At 35.9% G+C, this 21,943-nt stretch overlaps 1 protein-coding gene across 21 annotated transcripts in view; it reads left to right on the top strand.

Moving 5' to 3' along the window:
- The window catches only part of EPS8 (EGFR pathway substrate 8, signaling adaptor), a 169,255-nt gene that overhangs the window by 76,162 nt on the left and 71,150 nt on the right, over positions 1 to 21,943 (top strand). For 2 of the 21 annotated variants that reach the window (NM_001413834.1, XM_047428496.1), the window contains exon 1: positions 327 to 378. The exons of 15 other annotated variants lie outside the window; for them this stretch is intronic. The gene's annotated coding sequence lies outside the window, so the exon portion shown is untranslated. Of the gene's footprint in view, positions 1 to 326; positions 8,022 to 16,692; positions 16,712 to 21,943 lie in introns of those variants that run through there. 4 more of the 21 variants (XM_047428497.1, NM_001413833.1, XM_047428495.1 and 1 more) reach the window with 4 other exon arrangements.

Here is a 21,943-nt window from a genome sequence, read left to right as displayed (position 1 = left end):
CTCTAAAATGGGAGTAATAATGGTGTCTGTGTATATAGCGTTAATTTAGACCACACAGTAAGCTTTCAGTCAATGCTAGCCAGTATTATTTTCACCATTTAAAACTTAAAAAAAAAATCATCTTAGGCAAGAGTTGGAAGTGTAGTGGTAGCTGTGTTTACTTACTTAACAAGAGGAGGAAATCTTAGTTAACGCCCTAGAGAAACCAAATCAGAAATTTTGTTTGGTACAGTACAATGCCGAAACTGACGCTTAGAGTCCCACCCTTTCTGACGTTGTGCCAAAGGTCACTTGGCACATAAGTAAACTGAGTGGAATGGCCTCTCAATATTGCCTGGACGATTGCTTAGAGGAGTATTTCCTGAACTGTGTGGGTAGGTAAGTTTGAATTTGTTAATATTTTCTTTGCTAAGGAGGGCTCTCAAAGGCGTAATTATTATAAAGGGTATTTGTAGACCTTGAAACATGTAGCAATACTTTTAGTCCAAGTAAGCCCTTTGATTGCTTTTTAACTTCCCATTTAGTATTCCAAGTGGATTCTGAACTTGGTGAAATTAGTGGTAACCCAGTCTCCTCAGGGTCTTGCCTCCTGTCTTCTGGCTTACAGAGGTGGAGATTCAAAGGATTTCTTTCCTTTAGGTCATGGTATTTAAGAGAATAATTTTCCCCTCATATTATAGCTAAGAAGAGGTCTGTTGACTATTACAGATTGGGAATCCATGGGCATAATATACGAAATGTTTAAAAAATTACTTTGAACTTAACCTTATATGCAAAACATTGATTATCTTATAAATATTAACTGCTTTGGATTGTTTACACAATGTTAGTTGTACTATGAAAATTTGCTTATTAACCAGGTTTAGACTTCTTAGGTTGTTCTTGGCTTTGAGTCCACAGATTTAACACTGCCAAATTTCTGTGTAAACATTTTGCTTGGGACCTAAAATACAGTTGAATATGTGTATTTAAAGTTTTTTTTTTTAAAGCCCATGTATATTAATGGAACTTGTAAATGTTTAAATAGTCAATTAATGGAAGCTTTTAAGAAACAACTCTTTCAAAATATTCAATTTTATAATTATGATGTTTTAAATATCAAACTTGAGTTAGTGACAAACATGTAATTCATAATATATAAAGATCTATAAGTAGTTCTTATTGATTTATTACATTTAATCTTACTCAGAAGGAACTTTTTTGTTATTATTCTGTCACTAATAATTAAGTGCAAGGCTATTTAAAAACAAATAAGAGCTAATAACATTGTAACACAGACTAGATAGAGAGCAAAAATAAATAACTGATTAAGTTACTGTTTTGGTCTTGGGAAATGTGGTAGGTTCTTGAGTTTAGGTGCCATGGTTATGGCTGTTTTGATCCTTTTTTGAAATACATTCTTGGATGTGTTGATTTTCTTGTAATGTCACTATTATTTCTTAAGACCCTTATATACTGTAAAGAGCATTATCAATTTACACAAATTTTAACTACCCATAGAAATATTGTATACAGCTTTTTTGTAGCATAAATAGGTGAAGTTCCTCAAGATGTTTATGGCCTGGTATATTCTTACCCTTGCTATAAAGCTTTGGTCAGCTTTAGTGGCCAAACTCTAAGGCAAATGGCAGTATTAATGTGGAGTGTAAATCTCCATATATGTTCTTGGAATGGTATGTAAAATATTTTGTTCCCTGATCCACCTGTCCCCACCTTTAGTAAGATACCCTTGTGTCTGCAGTAGCTTGAGTTATAAAAGAGGTTTCCGTTTTTCAGCAACTAGACTTGGAAACAAATTTTTTCAGTTTAACTTAAGCAAATTGTATATAAGAGGAAATGACTATGGAGGAGATACGCTGCTTAGTCTCATTTCTATGTAAATAGTTCTGACATAAATTGTATAGAGAAGTCTCCTTTGTAGTTTACTTTTCAGTGATGTCATTTGTCATTAAATCGTCAAGGTAGGTATGAACCTTGGAGTTTTAAGGTGACAAAAATGAACTCATTACACTTTAGACTTTTGGCCAGGTTCTGTAACTTATGCCTGTAATCCCAGCACTTTGGGAGACTGAGGCAGGAGGATTGCTTGAGCCCATGAGTTCAAGGCCAGCCTGGGCATCATAGTGAGACCTTGTCTCTACCAAAATAAATAAATAAATAAATAAATAAATAAATAAATAAATAAATAAATAAGCCTGGCATGGTGGTGCATGCCTGTAGTCCCAGCTACTCAAGAGACTAAGTTAGGGAGGATGGCTTGATCCCAGGAGACTGAGACTGCCATGAGCTGTGATTGTGCCATTGCACTCCAGCAAGGGCGACAGAGTGAGACTGTCTTAGAAAAAATTCTAGCCTTTTAAATAATAGTGTAGTTGAATTGTATAAATATTTTTTGAAGAGAATATAATAAGGTAGGTTATCATGTAGTCTTTTTGATCATTTATTTATAGGATATTTCTAATGTAAACAATCCAGTATTTTAAAATTTCCTTTTTTTTAGAGTTTGTTTGTGTATTTGTTTTGACTTGTTTAATTTGACATGTAAGCACTTAAAAATTGACTTTCCAGCTACATGAAGAAATTATACGTCGGTTAAATTTGTGGCATTTTTATACAGAATCGTGTGTACAAAATATATTAACTAGGTTTGTTAATTTGATTAGAAAAAACTTGTGGTAGTTTTAATGCTCAATATATTTTCTAAAATGCAAAAGCAATTTGTGAAATATTGTCTCTCTGTACTTGGTAATGTAAGATCTGAGCTGAATGAAATGTGAGTTTCTTAAGCTTGTCTTAGATTTTGTATCAACATTTGTTCAAGAGCTTGGTTTTAGGAACATTTGTGTGCATTTTCTTGATTATTAAAAATTCTTTGTGTCATATTTAGATGTAATTTAGAGCAATATTATTTAACTTTGCCAATTATATTATTCTGATCACTAGATTTAATGCTCTGGTAACAACTCTCTGACAACTCATTATTACTCTAGTATTAGATTCCATTGGATTCTTTATCTTCCTTGTTTCTAAAAAAATGCCTTTCCTCATTATGCAAGTAATTTTTCTTTATTTCACCATTTATACAGTTGGCCAGACCAAATGACATAGTGAGTATCCCTTAAGCCAGGGGTCCCCCAACCCCTGGGCCATGGTTCAGTACCGGTTGGCAGCCTTTTAGGAACTGGGCCGCACAGCAGAAGGTGAGCAGTAGGCCAGCAAGCATCACTGCCTGAGCTCTGCCTCCTGTCAGATCAGCAACATCATTAGATTCTCATAGGAGTCGAACCCCATTGTGAACTGCACATGTGAGGGATCTAGGTTACGTGTTCCTTATGACAATCTAACTAATGCCTGATGATCTGAGGTGGAACAGTTTCATTCTGATCCATCCCGCCTACTCCTGCCTTGGAAAAATTGTCTTCCATGAAACCAGTCCCTGGTGCCAAAAAGGCTGGGGACCACTGCGTTAAGCAGAGCCGTGAATATCAATCTTGGACACAAAGCCTGGGATTGTGGGTGGGGAAAGCCCTCCCGTTGCTCTGGCCTGGCATTCCAAAGACTCTTTCAATTCTCTTAACTTATTCAAAGCCTGGATTCTAAAAGCCAATTGGGCTCCCTTTGCCCATTCATAATTCATGCTACAGTCTTCTGGCTAAAAATTGTCAGTAGAGTTTCCATTTCCCATTATATGAAATTCAATGTCCAGTGTGTAACTTATCTTTTGAGTCGTGTATCTTAATGTATGGCTTAAGCTTCTTCTTTATGCTTTACAGTTTCCATTTCCTGCCTTTTTTTCTTGACACGTGGTGTAATTAGAAAGTCTCTCCCTCATATTCAAAATTTACCTCATCCTTAAGGTTTACTGACCACTGCCATTAAATTTTTCTTGGTTTCACCTTCTTTTTTCTGCATTTTATACCAGTGTTTTGTGTTCCATCTTCTGTTATATTTATTTTTACATGTGTTATATTTTACTTCCTTTCTAATGACTGAGTTTAACTGATTGAATTACTTAAAGTCTATCTCTTACTATGATGGGTTAGAGGTGGTTTTGTCTTGTTTCTTCTAGGTTGCCTTGCATTCAGTACATGCTTATTATAAATATTTGGTTACTGAAAAAAATGAAGTGATATGACAGTGTTATTGATTACAAGACATTTTACTCCTTTGTTGGAATGGACATTTGGGGACAGGGGATCAACTGGAAATCTAAACAAGTGTGGCATGGCTCTCTGAATCAGGCTGTCCCCAGCAGGGAAAGCTGATGAAACAATTAAGGCTGCAGCTAAGAAATGTTTTAAATCATGTTGCATAGTGGCTCAATACTGACAGGCAAAGGACAGCTCTTACTAGGGAAAGACTTTGGACTGATAGGAAATTGAAGAGAAACACAGGCTTTGTAGATAGTGACTACATTTCTAACTCAGATAACATTTTCTGTGAGTTCATAGTGTGAGAATAAATACAGTCAATTCTGCTGTAATGATTGTTTTGAAAAATGGGAGTTTTTATTCTTTCATGATTGATATTAGGCAACACTTTGAGCATAATGCAAATTTCACTTTTGCTTATGCGTGATTTCACCTGAGAAATAGTAGGCGTGCACAGAAAATTTCACCCAACTAAAATGAGCTGCCTAGGCTACACAAAGTGTACATGCACACATCTCAGACATTGCCTGGCTGTCTCACTTTGCCACATGTTATGAGCCATATTCATTCATATTTTGTATTATAATTTCCCCTCCAATTTCAGATAACCCATCTTGCACCACTTCCCAATAATTTACATGCAAGGCTTGTGGCTGCCTGGAATAGAAATATTTCTTTCCCACAAATAACAATTATGTTAACATTTTTGAGCCTTAACTATGTGCTAAGCACTATGATAAGTGCTTAACATGGATTATGTTATGGAATTCTCACAAAACCTGATACAGTAGGTATTATTACTGTCTTTACAGATGAGGAAAGTGAGGCTTAGAGGGGTTAATTAACTTGCCCATGGTCAATAACTCATAAATGGCAGAGCCAATTCTTGAATCGAGTCTGATTTAGATCTTAGTGTTCTCTTACTTTGTAGATTACAGATAAGTAGCTTTCACTTGTGTTATTTCATATGCATTTAATAACTGTCTCTGATTGGCATCATAGGCTGTTTCGATCCCTATGATAGATGAGGAAACAACGCTACTCAGGGTAAGAATGCACAGATCATCATAGGCAGAGCAATAACAGGAACTCATTCTCATACCTAAATCAGAATTTTTTTCCTGGGGCTTATACATAAAAGGGGAAGAAAACAATTAGAGAATTAGAGATAGGGAGGTGAACTGAACTACAAAAAGAGGATGAAATGATTGTGTTGGAAGTTGGGGAACAAAAGAAGGTGAGTTATAATAGTACTTCAGAATTGTAAGGAGAGAGTCTAATGAAAAATGAACACTAGGGGACTTGTAACTCTGTGGTACATAAAGCCTAATCAAATTCTTACAAAGGAATTAAAACCACCAACTTCATTACAAGATTGTGGTAAGAGAAATCTGATCATGAGCATAAATCACTAGTAGTAATACGCTCAGAAATCAGAGGGAAGAGCAAGGCGATACCAGAGGAAGACTTCGGAAGGATTTATTTGTATTTGTTTTGTAGCATGTGATTTTTTTTTTTTTTAAGGTAGTGAGTTACCTTACAGGCCCTTACAGATAAGCAAGTACTTGATTAGTGTTTGTTATACTGAAAGCTTAATAAATAGTAAGGAGAGTAGTTGTTCAGTTGGGTATTGATTAAGGTGAAGTAATAGGAAAAGTAAGGGTAGAATCGATGAGTAATGATGAACTCAAAGCAGAGGGTCAGCAAACTCTAGCCATTGGGCTGTTTTCTTTCTACAAGCTGAGAATGCTTTTTACATTTTTGGTAGGTTATTAAAAACAAAAATGAAGAATATTGACAGAGACTGTATGTGGCCCACAAAGCCTAAAATATTTATAACCTGGCTCTTTACCGAAAGTTTGTCAACCCCTGACCTGAAATACATACCATGAAGAAAAAAGTTAGACTTGTTCCCTTTTAGGAAATTGGATTAGGTACTGTAAAGTGTAATATTTCATGGGGCTACATTTTCAAACATGTGCCTTTTTCCCACATGGAGGAAAGAACTGTCATGTATTTAGCCTGCTCTTTTGCTATAGGGGTTTTGCATACTTCGATTGTTCTTAACCTTGAGAGATACTATAACCACTTTACAAATGAAGAAACTAGGCTCATAGAGGCTAAGTAAGCCTAAAGTTTTACATTTAATAAGGACTGAAATGTAAGCTTGTCTGGCTTGCTAACTAGATATCAAATATGGGCATTTGTATAAATTTAGTTAGTATGTAAAATAGAAAAAAAACTTGTACACATAGACAATAGAGTAGGTTGGAGAATTGTGTCATTTTATTACAAAATTTGCCCAAGGAAGAATATCTTTGGATAAGTTGTAAAAAAAAACATAAAATATAAAGAACAGAAAATTCTAGTCTCATATTAAAAATGTAATATTCACCTAAAAGAAAGATGAGATTCAAGATGTTTTTGAAAGAAAATGCAAAATACAAAAGTGTGTTTTGCTTCAATAGAAAGTATACCAGCTAGTACTTTATTTTTGAAATGCAGATATTAAGCAAATATTGGCCCAAATGTCTAACAGTAAAGATTTATGAAGAGAATTTCAGAGTGCTGTGAAAACATGTAATGTAGAAATCTAGGATAGATTGGGAGTCAGGGAATGGTTTCCCAAGAAGGGGCCATTTAAGCTGAGATACAAGATTTAGATAGGCAAAGATATAAAAGATAATTATTCTAGACAAGTGTGATAGGCCTCGAGGAAGGAAGAACTTGGCATTGTCAATGCTGCAGTGCTTCCCGCCTTGCCTTTTGAATCCCAGGTTCCACGCAGGAAAAGGCAAGGCCAGGCTCCTCCCCTCTGCAAAGGTGCAAACTTGCTCAGGCTCCACCCCAGTGCACAGGCCGGCAGGAGCTTTGCCAGGGATCCCCTCCCACTTAGCTGTCTCAATGGGAGGGACCATTTTACAAGATGTTTACCATACTGGTTTGCAGAATTAGAGAGAGTAACCTTAGGTGAGGAGAAGACTGGGATTTGGAGACAGAAGGAAAGAAAATAGATTCAGGGTCATTCTTGAATGTTAGCCTTCTTTGAGTTAAAAAAAAAATAGCTGATAGGTGGTAGCAGCAACACATGTGCCTCTGATTGTACAAGAATTTAATAATGATACTTGTGTATGTTTTACATAAGCTTAAACTTTAGTGAACTTTAGTTAATGATATCAAACATTGAGGGTTTTAATGTCTTTCTACTGGATATCATAAGTCTGTTTTTCCTTACGAAAAGGGTAATATTGGCTAGCCGTTGAGGTTAGTGTTTGCTAAGAGTTGGAAGTTTTGAACAGTGAGGAAAACAATGTCACTGGGCTCATTTCCAAGAGGGTATTCTAACTATTGCAGTCAACAACTGATTTGCCATAAAATGTCAATAACTTTTTAAAAGGAAGGTACATTCATGTGTTTATTTTGCTTTTTAAATGAGTGTTAAGTACTTTAATTAGCATCATTTTATAATTATTGATATTTTGTATGGGATTTAATAATGGATTAGTTAATTATGAAAACAAGATCTAAATGTTTTCTTCTCCAATTGCCGTTAAAATTTGTTGAAATCACCTTATTGAACAGATTTTTTTTAAACCCCTTGGAGTACTAGTGGGTGTTATTTTGTTGAATGAATGTTTTACCCAAACTTATATGCATATTAGATTGTTTAAAAGCTCAATTAAAAAGTGAAAAATAGACACTGAAAATTTTTTGAGTGATTTCACATGTGTTCATGAAACAATATATCTATTACAAATCATTGAATATTTTAAAAGTAATGTCATGTATTCATTTTCTTATTTTATCTCCTCAGTAGACTGAGATCAGTGTGTAGGGGTGAAGCAAGGAGTCCTACTCTGTTTGACTAAGGTAAAAATTAAGAATCAGTGAGAAATGGAATTTGCAAAAGTGCCTGCCAGATAATGTTAGAACTGGACCAGAAAATAGGAGTTGGTATAAAACTAGACCAGCGAGCTTTTTTTTCCTTCAAGATGCAGTTCAGTTTATTGCTTTTGTAAATTAGAGATTGTGTTTCTTGATCTTTATTAAAGTAGAATACAATGTTAACCTACTTCAAATTTTAAAAAATATACACACATGTATATGTATGTGTGTGTGTATATACACACAGGATTTTAAGGACAGTTTTTTGTGTGTGTGTGTGCATGCGCACGCATGCCAAGGAAATTGTTAATCTTCTAGTACATCCCCATAACAGAGGCAGCTACAATAAGATCTAGTCTTTGCCTTACAGACCAGGTGGCTTTACCTGATAGGCTCACAGACATTCAGTAGTTCATTTGTTCCTCAGATTTCTCTAATTATTGTGATAAAGTTGATATTAAATTTACCAACTTAACCATCTTTAAATGTATAGTTTATTGTCATTAAGTGTATTCACATTGTTGTGCAGCCATCATGACCATCCATCTCTAGGAGTTTTTCATCTTCCTGAATGGAATCTCTGTGCCCCAAAACAATAACTACCCATTCTCCACCTTCCACAGCCCCTGGCAGCCACCATTATGCTTTCTGTGTCTTTGAATTTGACTATTCCAAGTTCTTCATTTAAGGAGAATCATAGAGTATTTGTCCTTTTGTGACTGGCTTATTTTACTTAGTGTAATGGCTTCAGGGTTCATCCATGTTGTAGTATGTATGAGAGATGTCTGTTTCCTTTTAAAGGATAAATAATTCCCTTATGTAGATGTATGATATTTTACTTATTCATCTGTGAATGGACAACACTTGGGTTGCATCTACCTTTTGGCTCTCGTGAATAATGTTGATATGAGCATGGGTGTACAAATATCTAGTCTCTACTTTCAGTTCTTTTGGGTATACACCCAGAAGAAGAACTGCTGGATCATATAGTAATTCTATGCTTGATTTTTTTGAGGAGCTGCCATACTGTTTTCCACAATGACTACACCATTAAAGGGATATTTTAAATGAACGAACAAAAAAACCCAGCAGGAAAACCCTCTATTCTTACAGTCTTTGGAATTTTACAATGAACTTTCTAAAATAGGATGAAGATAGCTTCATTGGATTTCTTGTGTAACTAATAATTCTAGGAAGTGTGGTCTCTGTCCTTAGAGGTAAGTGGTGGGCAGATTTAAAATTAATATATCGGTTTCTCTTTGGATAATTACGGAGTTTGGAGACATTAGGGGAATAACAAAGGTGAGTCTAAGTTTTTCCAAAAAAAAAAAAAAAAAAAAAAACAAATACATAGAGCAGAATACAGGTGGGAAGATTCCTATAGAAATGAAAGAGACAGATACAATTATCTCAAATAATCAACTTTGCTTCCTGAAAGTGTCAACTTCGTTCTCTGATCTAGTCTGCCTTCCAGAATGCCTGCATAGTTATTTTCTTAAACATTAGTAATATGATTGTTACTCCTTACCATCTCCTAAAAGATTAAGTCCAAATTCCTTTATATGCTCTACAAGGCCCCTCACAATCTGGCATCAAGCTTTTCTTCATCACATCTTCTTTTCATATATTCTGTATTGCAGCCACACTGAATATCTCACTATTCCCTGAAATTCATGTCCTTCCATATCCTTTGTATATGTCTGGAATGTTCTCTAATTACCTGTACCTGTACCAACTGGTGCACTCCTCACTGTCTTTCAAGACCTGATGTTACTGTCTCTTCCTATATGAAACCTACAAGCAGCTTCCATAGGTAGACACTTTCCTAGTACATTGTTCATACAGTAATAACATTTACTAAAATGCATTGTAATTATCTGTTTGTATATCTATCCATCTTGCTGAACTGAATGTTCCCAGAGGAGAGAAAGTATGTTTATTATATGTCATCATGCAAAGCACAATACCTTGTAGGCATAAATGTCCAAAAAATACCAAATGAACTTATTTTTCTTTATTTATTTTTATTTTTATTTATTTTTTGAGACGGAGTCTCGCTCCATCACCAGGCTGGAGTGCAGTGGCGTGATCTTGGCTCACTGCAACTTCCACCTCTTGGGTTCAAGCGATTCTTGTGGCTCAGCCTCCCGAGTAGCTGGGACTACAGGCACACGCCACTGCACCCAGCTAATTTTTGTATTTTTAGTGGAGATGGGGTTTCACTATGTTGGCCAGGATGGTCTCAATCTCCTGACCTTGTGATCCACCCACCTCGGCCTCCCAAAGTGCTGGGATTAAAGGCCTGAGCCACCGCGCCCAGCCTCGAATGAACTTATTATGTGGTTTTGCTCACTCTATTGAATGTTTACCTTTAATAACCATTACGTGCATAAGCTAGAATTCCTTTCATAATTTCACTATTATTAATATACTGGATATATATGTATTGGATATAGGTAAAATATTAAGCATGCAATTTTTTTCTTCATATTTATATATTGTATTGGATATGTGTTTTGGATATAGGTAAAAATATTAGGCATGCAATTTTTTTCTTCATATTTAATATACTGGATATATGTTTTAGAGATAGGTAAAAACATTAAGCATGCATTTTTTTTCTTCAGTAGTTTGCTGCTGCTCTATGAAGATTTCCAGACACTGATCTCATAGACATTCATACATTACCCCAGAGTCCTCTTATCCTAGGAGAAAGTATCTCATAATCCACACTTAAATGTTAATGACATAATACATTATTACTCCCAGAAGTGTTTGTAGTTTAAAAGTGCTTCCTATGGATGAAAATGCTTAACTCAAAAGAATGAATTAATTTCCAGTGCTAGAATTTTATTCACCTTGTCGCCTGTGTAAACGATAGATTTTAAGGAAATAGGATGATACTCTCTCAACCCTAAAATCACACTGGACAGGCAGGCTTCCAAGAGCACCTCTGAATCTTTAGCATCTCCAGAGTGGTGTTAACAGGGGGAATATATTCTGTTTCCTTAGGCTGCTGCTCTAAGCACTTTGCCCTTTTGGAATAAATTTGTTCTTCTTATACTGCCTCCTAATAATCTGCACGGCAGAGAAATGTGGTTTATCTCATGGTGCTTAGCCTGACTCACAAACTACTTAAGAATTTCTTTTTCACATGTGTAGTCATTTAATATTTAAACTAGTTTCCATGAACCAGTTATAAATATGAGTGAATACTTATTAGCTGACTTGACATCTAAAAGGATGTCTTTCTACTGAAAGCAAAATATTGTAAGAGTCAGATGTTTGAACTCTTTTTAGTCTAGATTACTCAAGAGGAAACAAACAGCAAGATCCCATTTAATTGCTTGTTATTTTGAAGAAGGAAATGTTATGTTATTTTTCTTCCCCTAAGGGCCGTGTCCAGGGCAGTATCATTTTGGTGTTTTTATAGGTCTGTGAGATATTTCCAATGTTTCGAAACTAAAAAACAAGTGAGATTGACATAAATGTATCTGGACAGTGTAATGTTTCAAAGCTTATCCAAGTAGTTGTTCTTTCAGATTGAAGACTTGGTATTATTTGTACTAAAGTCCTATTGATATAATTAGTTACATTAAAAATTTTAAACTAATGGATGAGAAGGACATACCTGAATCCAGGCATGGATTATGTAGATGTGAAATGTTAATACATATCTGTATATGTGTAATTGTGTGTGTGTGTATGCTTAAGTGTGTTTAAGTTACTATCAAGTATTCTAAAGGGGGATGAGTCACACATACAGACATAGCATAGAAACTGAGTTTGGGCTTTTGTGTTGGTCTGCCTGTGTCTGAGGCTTTACCATGTACTAACTGTGATACTGAGCAAGGCACTTCTGTGCCCCAGTTTCCTCATCTGTAAACTAGAGATAAAAGTAGTACCTGCCTTTTAGAGTTATGCTTATCAATTGAATTAATGCATGCAAAGAACTTACAACAACGTTTGACACATATATGGATTTAATAAGTGTTATTGTTTTTGTAAATTATTATTAAATATTGGTGACACAGTTGATTCAGAGAGAGAAAAGAATTACCTTTTAAAAAAGTGACTATTTTGAAGCCAAAGATATTAGTTAATTTAGCAGATTGAAGTCATAAGGTTGTTTATCATTAAGAGACTATGGTATAAAGATGGACACAGGTAGGTAGTAGTTTATTCTTTATAATATACCTTACATTACCAATTTTTGACTATTTTTAAAGTCTCCTTTCTCCTGACCGTATGTTTATGAAAATGTTCTTTACTTTGAAACCTGGCTGGGTTTAGAAAATATATGTCCTTTGTCTATTTTGTGATAGACTTCAATTTTGTCTAATCAGTGTTTGAAAGAAATGGCACTTGTATGGACTTCCTTCCAAGAAAAACATTGGGTGTTTCAGGAAGTGGTCTTGGTGAGTCAGAGCATAGTACTTTTTCCTCTGAGTCAGTTTTGAACCTCCTTGATATAAATAGGCATGCTTTTACCAAAAGTTCTGCTTTTCACATGTTAAAATCATCATTGATACATGGCTACACTAAGAGCAGTGCCTTCATTGGTTTTTCTGCTCAGTTGGCATTGAGGCTCTTTTATCTAATTGTGACTGTAGAAATTCTGTGGAATAAATTTCTTTTTAAATTTTCAATTTAATTCTATACTTCTAAATTAGTTTCTGTTTTCACACCAATTTTGCTTCAGAAAGGAGTGGAGTCAGGTGACCAGTTATGTAAATTTTAGAGGAATTTATATTGGTGATAATATACACTTTAATCATTAGAATTCTATGACTTCTCTTTTAGCCCACACATATAACTCTTTATAGCACAATTTCAGTTCAGGGATTATTTTGCAAAAGACTGTACTAGTTTGCCACACCTCAGAATTGTTTAGAAGATAGAAAAGAATACGTTAGAGTGGTTCTTCATAACCACATTAAAAAACATTAAACATGATAAATAATTGCCAATTGACTAGATATTGTTAACGTTGAGTTGGTTAGGGAAGAGTTTCTTTTTTTGTTGTTGTTGTTTTTGAGATGGAGTCTCATTCTGTCCCCCAGGCTGCAGTGCAGAGGCATGATCTCAGCTCACTGCAACTTCCGCCTCCTGTGTTCAAACAATTCTTGTGCCTCAGCCTCCAGAGTAGCTACGACTACACGTTGTGTAGCACCACGTCCGGCTAATGTTTGTGTTTTTAGTAGAGATGGGGTTTCACCATGTTGGCCAGGCTGGTCTTGAACTCCTGACCTCATGATCTGCCCACTTTAGCCTCCCAAAGTGCTGGCATTACAGGCGTGAGCCACCGCACCTGGCCTAAGGGAAGACTTTTAAAAAGGGGTGGGAATTGAGGAATTGAGAAATTGCTAGATGGGAAGTATAAAGTAGTGGAAAGGGCATTTAGGGTAAGAATAGACACTTAAAGTTGGGTCAGTCAAGATATGCTCAGGACAGTGGTGGGAATGAGGGTTTATATGTAGGAGTATTTGAGAGAATATGGATTACTGGAAAAATTATGTAAGCCAAAATTATGGTCGAGCCTCGAATGGTACACTAAAGTTGTATGTGTGACTACATAGTTGGTAACATTGTTTAATTGTCATATATTTCTCTTGAGTTGTAATTGGTTGAATACAACTGGTTTTTAGTGAATTTCATTTTATAACTAGTATTTAAAGAAAACTTCTCTATTTCTCTTAAATATATGATCCTGCAGGAAAATAAAGGAACTGAGAGATATAGATGTCAAATGATCTGTGTGTGCTTTTGCATATAATCCTCATAACAATCATTCTCATTTTACAGGTGAGTAAACCGAAGCTGAGATAGGATAATGACTTGTCTAAGGTCACAGAGAGATGTTAGTCAGGATTTACACTTAGGGCTGCTCATCTTCATACTATTTTCTTTTCACTATGGCAAAATACCACAATAAAAGCTCTGGGACATACTCAGTAAGTTTTTATTATTTCCAATAGCTGTGAAAAAGCAACTCAAAGGTATTTTTCTTCTGAACAGAAGTATTATTTTCTTTTAGGAATAGGTCTTTGGACTCTAGGAAACTGCCTTGTGGGTAAGCTTGCTCTCCTCCTCTTGGGGAGCAGTTTTCTGTAAGGTTTGCAGGGGCAGTCACATCGGTGGAGGGATCATTTGTAGGTTGTGGTGAGCCATGCTGTGGATCATCTGTCCTTTGCCCATTTATATTAGTAGATTGATGGTCATTTACATTTTTTCAAATCTGAAGCATCTGGGCCTTGATTAGTTGGAATCTTTGATTTTCATTCTTGACATATACAACAATTACAAGAATATGCTACATTGTTTTATTCTATTTCCTTCATAATGGGGAAGCAGTCATGTGGCTCTTGGCAAAACTGACCTTGCCTGAGGTTTCAACAGAGGCAGTTGAGATTAAACACCATTCTTGTAAACACTGAATCTCCTATCTCCTAAATTTCAAACTGGCATCCTGGAAAAATTTCTTTGTTAGGATCTGGAATTGAACAGCTCAGTTCTTAGGAGGGCAGGGAAAGTCATCATGTTTTCCCCAGCTAAATAGTTTGAATGTGCTACTATGTGCCGGTACGTGCTATTCCTGGGGCTTCTTAGCAGCTAAATTTTTTTTTTTTTTTTAAAGAGGATGAAGATTTATTTTTCCACTCCATTTGAGGAAAATAAGGAAGTTGGCTGGCAATAAGAGAGGTCAAGATGGAGAGGCTGGAGGAGAGAGATGTCTGTTTACTGTGTGGATGAGGTTAACTTAAAGAGCGGGGGTTGGGGAGTCTAGTTGACACTGCTTGTTCTTTTCCTTGAGTAGTTCTCGTTAGAAGCTAGAGCTGCTGAATTTTTTCTGTTTTAACTTACTTGGTTAAAATATTTATTAGTAAGATTTTAAAATTACTTTTAGAACATTGTTTTATTCTGTCTTTTCTTATAAGAAGATTTGAGATAAACATCTCCATTTGGCCAAGTAATAAAATATTCACAGGCATAATTTTTTATAAAATATTTTAGAAAATTGTAGAGTTTTTCCATTTTTCCTTTATTAAACAGTTTCAGAAAGCCTTTTAAAATACATATTTCTTTCATAATCATTCATATGTCCCCATGCTTTGTAAAACATATGTTGCCTCAAAGTTGGATATAAGAGTGTCAATTCTAGTTTTATTGATAGCTTTTATACAACTGGAAATATGTTCCCATAGAGAAATTTCTGTAATAGACATGAACTTCATGGAACAAAGTCAAGGTGATGCCATGCTCTTTTGGAATTTGGTGATTCTTTTGTCACTTTAGTGTCCATTGTCTTTATTCTGGTACTATCTTGGCCTTTATATTGATCCTATTTCTAATAATCCTGATCATCTACTGCTTGGACTCCCTAAACTTTCAGAATCCAGTTCCCTTTTTTTCTTACTTATCAGTAAAGCTAGATTATCAGTTCTTTTTTATACAGATGTAGGACTATCATCTGTAATTTTTGGCAAAAGAAGAAAAAAATCCATGTAGTTCTTTTTAGAGGTCATGTGAGCATGTGATTTTTGGGTAAAAAACTCTAGCCATTATTTTCCTCTATGTGGCAAAGTGGTTGAATTTTATCCCACATCTACTATTAATTACCTCTTTGACAGTGAACATGTTATTAAACTCTGTACCTAGCTTATTCATCTGTAAAGTGGGAATGGTAATTGTTCCTACTTCATGAGGCAGTTGTGACAATTAAAAGAAAATGACACATGTAAAGCAGTGCCTGCTATGCCGTGTTTTCTAGATGTGAGCCATTGCCGCTGCTGCTGCTGTTCTGCCTCTTCCTCTTCCTGCTGTCACTGCTATTGGCAGTTTGTAATAGTTTAGTTTTCCTTCATGCCCTGATTTTGTACCACCATTTGGCTTAGAATGGGGGACAGCAGTTATGCCATGTAAGTGATATCCAGTTTATTTAATCAAGAGCTGGAGTTAATTTGGGGGGTTATTTAGACATTTTAATCAGTTTGTGCTTGTCCCTCAAGTTTTCCCTTCTTCAGTCTATAGGCCATTTTCCCAAATCAGTTTGTGCTTGTCCCTCAAGTTTTCCCTTCTTCAGTCTATAGGCCATTTTCCCAGTTGGTTAGAGATGGGAACTGTGGGAATAGAAAGAAAGAAATGCAAATGCTGGCCTTACGATAATTCCCTCTTCAAATCTCCTCTTCTTTCTGACCTAAAATAGCTTACTTACCCAAACAAATCTATCTGAAATTCCCAAACAAAAATCTATATAATGTGATCCGGGAACATGAAGGTTCTTTGGTCACTCTCCCTTCCCTGCTAATCCAAACACCTTTTTTCACTTATTAATTCACTATAAAGTGGTGTGTTTCTGCTTGGTTTTAATTCCACATGCCCGAGTTTAGGAATGTAATTCCTGGCAAATATTTTTGGGGGTTTATAGATTGACACTGGCCTCAAAGTGGACATGTAAAAAAAGTCCCATTTCTTCCCAAGTGGAATAGTAGTTCAGGTGTTTTTCTCTGACCTTCTGATTCATCAAGTCCATGTTTTTGTTTTTTTATTTGAGACAGAGTCTCGCTCTGTCGCCAGGCTGGAGTTCAATGGTGCGATCTTGGCTCACTGCAACCTCCGCCTCCTGGGTTCAAGCAATTCTTCTGCCTTAGCCTCCCGAGTAGCTGGGATTACAGGTATATGTCATCATGCCCAGCTAATTTTTTGTATTTTTAGTAAAAATGGGGTTTCACGATGCTGGCCAGGCTGGTCTTGAACTCCTGACCTCGTGATCTGCCTGCCTTGGCCTCCCAAAGTGCTGGGATTACAGTTGTGAGCCACTGCACCCGGCCAAGTCCATGTTCTTAAACTTGGAAAGTCTCTAAAGTTAGTGTTTTATAGATTTTACTGTTTTATTTTTGTGTTTCTTCATCCCTACTGTCTTTTATTTTGCTTATGTTCAAACTGCTACCTGAAATATAATAAATAATAGCATTCTCATTCAGAATTATTTTTACATATTTTTTGTCAACAGAGTACTGTTTCACCTTGTCTTGAAACATTAAAAACACTTTCAATAAATGCATAAATTCTTTGTTTTAAAGGTAGACTAATTATCCTGGATTTTAAATAGAGAAATCCTGAGAGAACATTTTCAGAATGAATCTCTCAGTCCCATACTTTTGAGAAGTTCATAGCTAGGTTTGATGCAGTCTGTGTTTGTATCCTTATAAACGCTATCTGTTTTATTTTTACTTTTTAATAAATTAACAGAAGTTGTCATATTTATTCTTTTTGCAACCTCCGCCTCCTGGGCTCAAGTGATTCTCCTGTCTCAGCCTCCCGAGTAGCTGGGATTACAGGTGCCTGCCACCATGTCTGGCTGATTTTTATATTTTTGGTAGAGATGGGGTTTCGCCATTTTGGCCAGGCTGGTCTCAAACTCCTGACCTCAGGTGATCCACCCACCTCGGCCTCCCAAAGTGCTGGGATTATAGGTGTGGGCCACCATGCCCTGCCTCATTTTCTTATTTCATGCTCTCCTCCCTCTAGATTGTAAGCTCCATGAAGGTAGGAACCCTGTCTGTTTTGCTAACCATGCACTCAATATGTAGAGCTACCCTGTCTAGTGTGGTAGCTGTTAGTCTATATGTGGTTATTAACATTTAAATGTAAACTAATTTATATGTAATAAAACTTAAAATTCAGTTTCTTAGTGGCACTAGCCACATTTCAAGTGCTCAACACTTGTGCTCAGCTACTGTATTGAGCAGTGCTAATATAGTGCATTTCTATTATTCTAGGAAGTTGTATGGGACTGTGCGAGAGCACTGATGGGCACATTCTGGTTACGTAGTAATTATTTGTTAAATGAGCGAATGAATGAAGTAGTACTCAGATTGGCAGGTGCCAATTAATGTTGAATGAATCTTGTTTGAATAATCATGTTTAAAAGTTATTTTAGTTTTTAATTAATCCATGTTGACATTTCCCCAGCCAACTTCAAAATACTGGATTTATCATTAGTAAAAGGAAAGTATATAATAGTGGTTAAAAGCACAACTTGTTGCTGATGTCATGGCCAAATTACCTTTACTTATAACTCTAATTTAAAGTCTCAGATTCTCATTAAAATGAGAATAAGAAGTTCTTTTTACCTCTTAATAAGAAGTAAGATAATGCATGTAAAGTGCTTGCACAGTGGCTGACATAATAAAATACTTAATGAGCATTATTTTTACAATAATGAAATAGTGAAATATGTCTAAATTTACCTCATTCGTGGGTGATTTCATGGTTATGAAAAAATTTACTGCTGGTTTTGAGAACTTCTATTATAATTTCACAATTTTCAAAGGTAATGCTATTCACAGTCAAAGCTTATATTTACTGACTTTTAAATATGAAATATAATAGGCTCAATTATTTTTTCCATTGGAATTAACTTTTCTTCCTTTATTTTTTAATGACTATGTAAGCAGGTAAACTCTCAAGAAGAGAGTTTCATACTACTTTTATAGGCAACTTGAATTTTAAAACTAATGTACAAATATCTCTGCTTTTGTTTTGGAGTAGTCCACGAATAATTTGTTCCCAGCTGTATCAATTTAAATGGGCTTCTCTTTGGGAAAAAATTAATAAAGAATGGATAAAGTAGTGGTTATTTACCTAAGGATGAATTCCAGGTTTTATTTAGGCACCTAACTCTGTTATGATTTAATTTCTAGAAAAGCAATTAAAGCAAGAGCTTTTCGTGAACAGTAATGTCTGATTTAACTGGGGTTATTGCCTCACGTCCATGCTTTAGCGTATTGTTTTTTCTCTGGGATTTGAAAACAGAATTTGTTGTTATAATAACAATAGGTAGTTAAACATATACTACCAAAATACCAGCTGACTTTATCAAATGTAAATTTCCTTCATTTTTTTTTGTGTTACTTTCACTCTGGTTGTTATGGTACCTTTGTTTTTAGTATAAACTTGTACTCATATTTCATAGTCCACCTGAACCTCTCAAGTTCACATTAGAGGTGACTTGAATTTTTCATCTGGGTTTTTCATTGACAAATATTTCTTAATGTTTAGACAATGAAAATATGCTACAGAAAAATGGCAGACTAAGCATATACATTTGTTTCATTTTTTGAAAAATTTTACTTGAAGTTCTGGGATACATGTGCTCAATGTGCAGGTTTGTTACATAGGTATACGTGTTCCATTGTGGTTTGCTGCCCCTGTCAACCCATCACCTAGGTGTTAAGACCCGCATGCATTAGCTATTTGTCCTGATGCTCTCCCTCCTCTTGCCCCACCTCCATCTGACAGGCCTTGGTGTGTATTTTTTCCCCTCCCTGTGTCCATGTGTTCTCATTGTTCAGCTCTCAGTTATGAGTGAGAATATGCAGTGTTTGGTTTTCTGTTCCTGTGTTAGTTTCCTGAGGATGATGGCTTCCAGCTTCATCCACGTCCCTGCAAAGGACATGTTTTCATTCCTTTTTATGGCTGCATAGTATTCCATGGTGGTATATGCATTTATTTCACTTCCTCCAAATAAAATAACAGTAAAGGGATTTTTAAATGCAGAAAGCCAGTGAGACAAAGGGACTCTATAAAGCCTGTGGATAATTGTGATTAACCTAGAAGTCCTTACATGCTGAAACCTAAGCTACTATTGAGAGACATTGAGAAGCAACCTTATTTTCATTTCAGAACCTCCAACTGACTCAACAGTGAGAGTGAGGCTAAGAATAGTAGGATTTATTAGTCATGTGTTTAAAGTGAACTTGGATCCCAGATGCCTCCTCACACTCCAGTAAAACCAGTAGTTTATTCTGTGGAGAATGTGAACTAGAGAACTCGGTTGGGGATACCAAGGTACAGACAGAGGGTGAAAGATGAAATGAAATGCTTAGTAAACAGTAAGACAACCCTGGCTGACTTCTTCCACTTATTGCCAAAGTTTTGGCAGTCAGCTTTACATTCTCTAAACATGGAATGGGAAGATACTTCCTTGGAGAACCTGACTGATCTATGCAAAAGACCGATAGACACTGATGGCTGGGGTCTGCCAGCAGGACTTCTGTGCAGTGAAGCCCACTTGTTCACAAGCCCCACCCATGGACACTGACTTTCTTGCCACCTTTTTAGGGCTTCATCTTCAATATGAGTAATAACCAGTAATCACCTGATATTTAAAGCAATTCAGAAGCCAAAACAAACCTAGCGAAAACAAGGAAATTGTCATAAAGAGACAATGAAGGGAGAAGAAAACTTAAAAATATTATCATGGATATTCTCAGAAAGATCAGAGAATATACTGTAATCAGAAAATAAGTATAGACACTAAAAGAAAAGGAAGCTTTAGGTTCTAAAAATGTACTCCTGAAAAATGGAACTGATAGAAGAAATAAGAAACTCAAAATGTTTTTTGAATATAAAGAAGAGGAAGCTACCCAGAAAGTAGAAAAAAAAATTACAAAATGAAAAACAAAAGAGAAAATACAAAAGTAGAGACTTAGACCAGGAGGTCCTACTCTGAGCAACTGAATTTTTTAGAAAAAGGAAAAGTATATATAGCAAGGAAACTATCAAAGAAATAGCAAAAGAAAATTTCCCGGACTTTAGGAAAATGATTTTCAAGTTTGAAAAGGCCTATTGTGTTTCCAATATGCTGAATTTTTCAAAAAACACCCATACTAATGTATAGCACCATAACATTTCAGAACATCAGGGGTAAAAATGAAGATCCTAGACTCCAGACAGAAGAAAACAGACAGGCTCTATACAAAAAATTGGGAGTCAGAGTGGCCCCTAACATTCAGCAGGGGTCATTGAAGACAGAACCACAAGGGCTTCAAAATTATGGGGCAAAAAAAAAAAAAAAAAAAAAAAACCAAACCTCTTTCAATCTACAATTTGAAACCAAGACAAACGGTCCATCATGTGTAAAGGTAAAATAAACACATTTTTCATCATATACAGTTTCAAAAATGTACATTTCTAATGCTCTTTCTTAGGAAGTCCCTGAAGTATGTGCCCTACCAAAATAAAAAAGTAAAAGCATGGAAAGAGGGAGGTCCAGGATCCAGGAAGTAAGGCTCCAAGACAGGGGGAACGTGAAGGGGATACACAAGGTGGTGAGGAATGTGGATCCCGTGATGAAAGCTCTTCGGAGCCTTAGAGAGTAATCAGTTCAGAGTGGAGCAGTCATATATCTGGGAAAGAAGCCTGCAGAAAGACAGAAATGTTAGAGTAATGATAGAATGGGTGGTGCTTCAATGTATTGAAAGGAGGGCTCCACTTCTGGTGGTGTAAAGTAATAAAATTAACGAGGGGGACATAGGATCACTAAGAGTTGGGGGGAAAGATAATTATTAACAAACAGAAGACAAATATATAAAAATGGAAGGGTATTCTTAGTATACTGTGAATAGCATTTACATAGATTCAATAAGTAAACACTGAATTTTAGTCTCACAAAAATGTGGTGTATCTGTAATTCGTCCTCTGTGATATGATTCTCACTTCATCTCCAACCTCATCCCTCATAACTTCCTGCCAAACTGCTGACAGTTTCCTAAGTGTCCAAAGCCATCTCCTGCCTTTGCTCTTCTCTTTTGCCTTCTGGCTTACTCAGCTCCTGCATCACAGCCTGTGAAGGAAGGCAGTTATGAACCGAATGTCTCCCGCTTCCAGCCCTAGGCGCAGGCCTTGCATACTGTCTTTCTACTTGCCACATTGTACTATAAATGATCCTTTTGATGTCTCTCTGCCCCATTATACTATATATTTCTAAAAGTCATTATCTTTCTTTTTTGTTAATTTTTTTTTATTGGTAGAAATGGGACCTTACTATGTTGACCAGGCTGGTCTTGAATTCCTGGCCTCAAGCAATACCCCCACCTTGACTTCCCAAAGTGTTGGGATTA

The sequence above is a fragment of the Homo sapiens genome, chromosome 12 (genome assembly GCF_000001405.40).
Source record: "Homo sapiens chromosome 12, GRCh38.p14 Primary Assembly".
Lineage (NCBI taxonomy): Eukaryota > Metazoa > Chordata > Mammalia > Primates > Hominidae > Homo > Homo sapiens.
The sequence above is the reverse complement of the archived record's forward strand: the minus strand, read 5'-3'. Positions and strand labels throughout refer to the sequence as shown.